Genomic DNA, 411 nt, shown 5'->3' with positions numbered 1-411 from the left:
AACAGAGCATGAGTTCATCACTAGTTTTAAGAAACGGGTTTCTCCATATATGGTGTGCAGCTCACTTTGTGTTCTTAACCCTGTCTTTTCAGTGGTTTTCAGTGACACAGCACCTATTACGACATAGATTTTTATGAGGCTGTGTCAGACTTCCTTTTGAATTGGGAGATATTTCCAAAGAAAATTCTGAAGTCTCCAGGAATAATAGTCTCCAATTTTTAATGGAGGTTGCGGTGATAAAATGAAAATATCTCTTACTTCTATAAATGCCTCGCAAAATGCTTTCAGAAATCTTTTTCTTTTTAGAGTCATATCAACACATAGTGGTTGGAATATCTGGTTAACATCATAAACTTGACCTAGAATTCATTCACGATGGTAGAAACATGTAAGCGTGTATGTGTGTGTGTG

The sequence above is a fragment of the Homo sapiens genome, chromosome 12, assembly GCF_000001405.40.
Source record: "Homo sapiens chromosome 12, GRCh38.p14 Primary Assembly".
NCBI classification, from domain to species: domain Eukaryota; kingdom Metazoa; phylum Chordata; class Mammalia; order Primates; family Hominidae; genus Homo; species Homo sapiens.
This window is presented reverse-complemented; position numbering follows the sequence as displayed.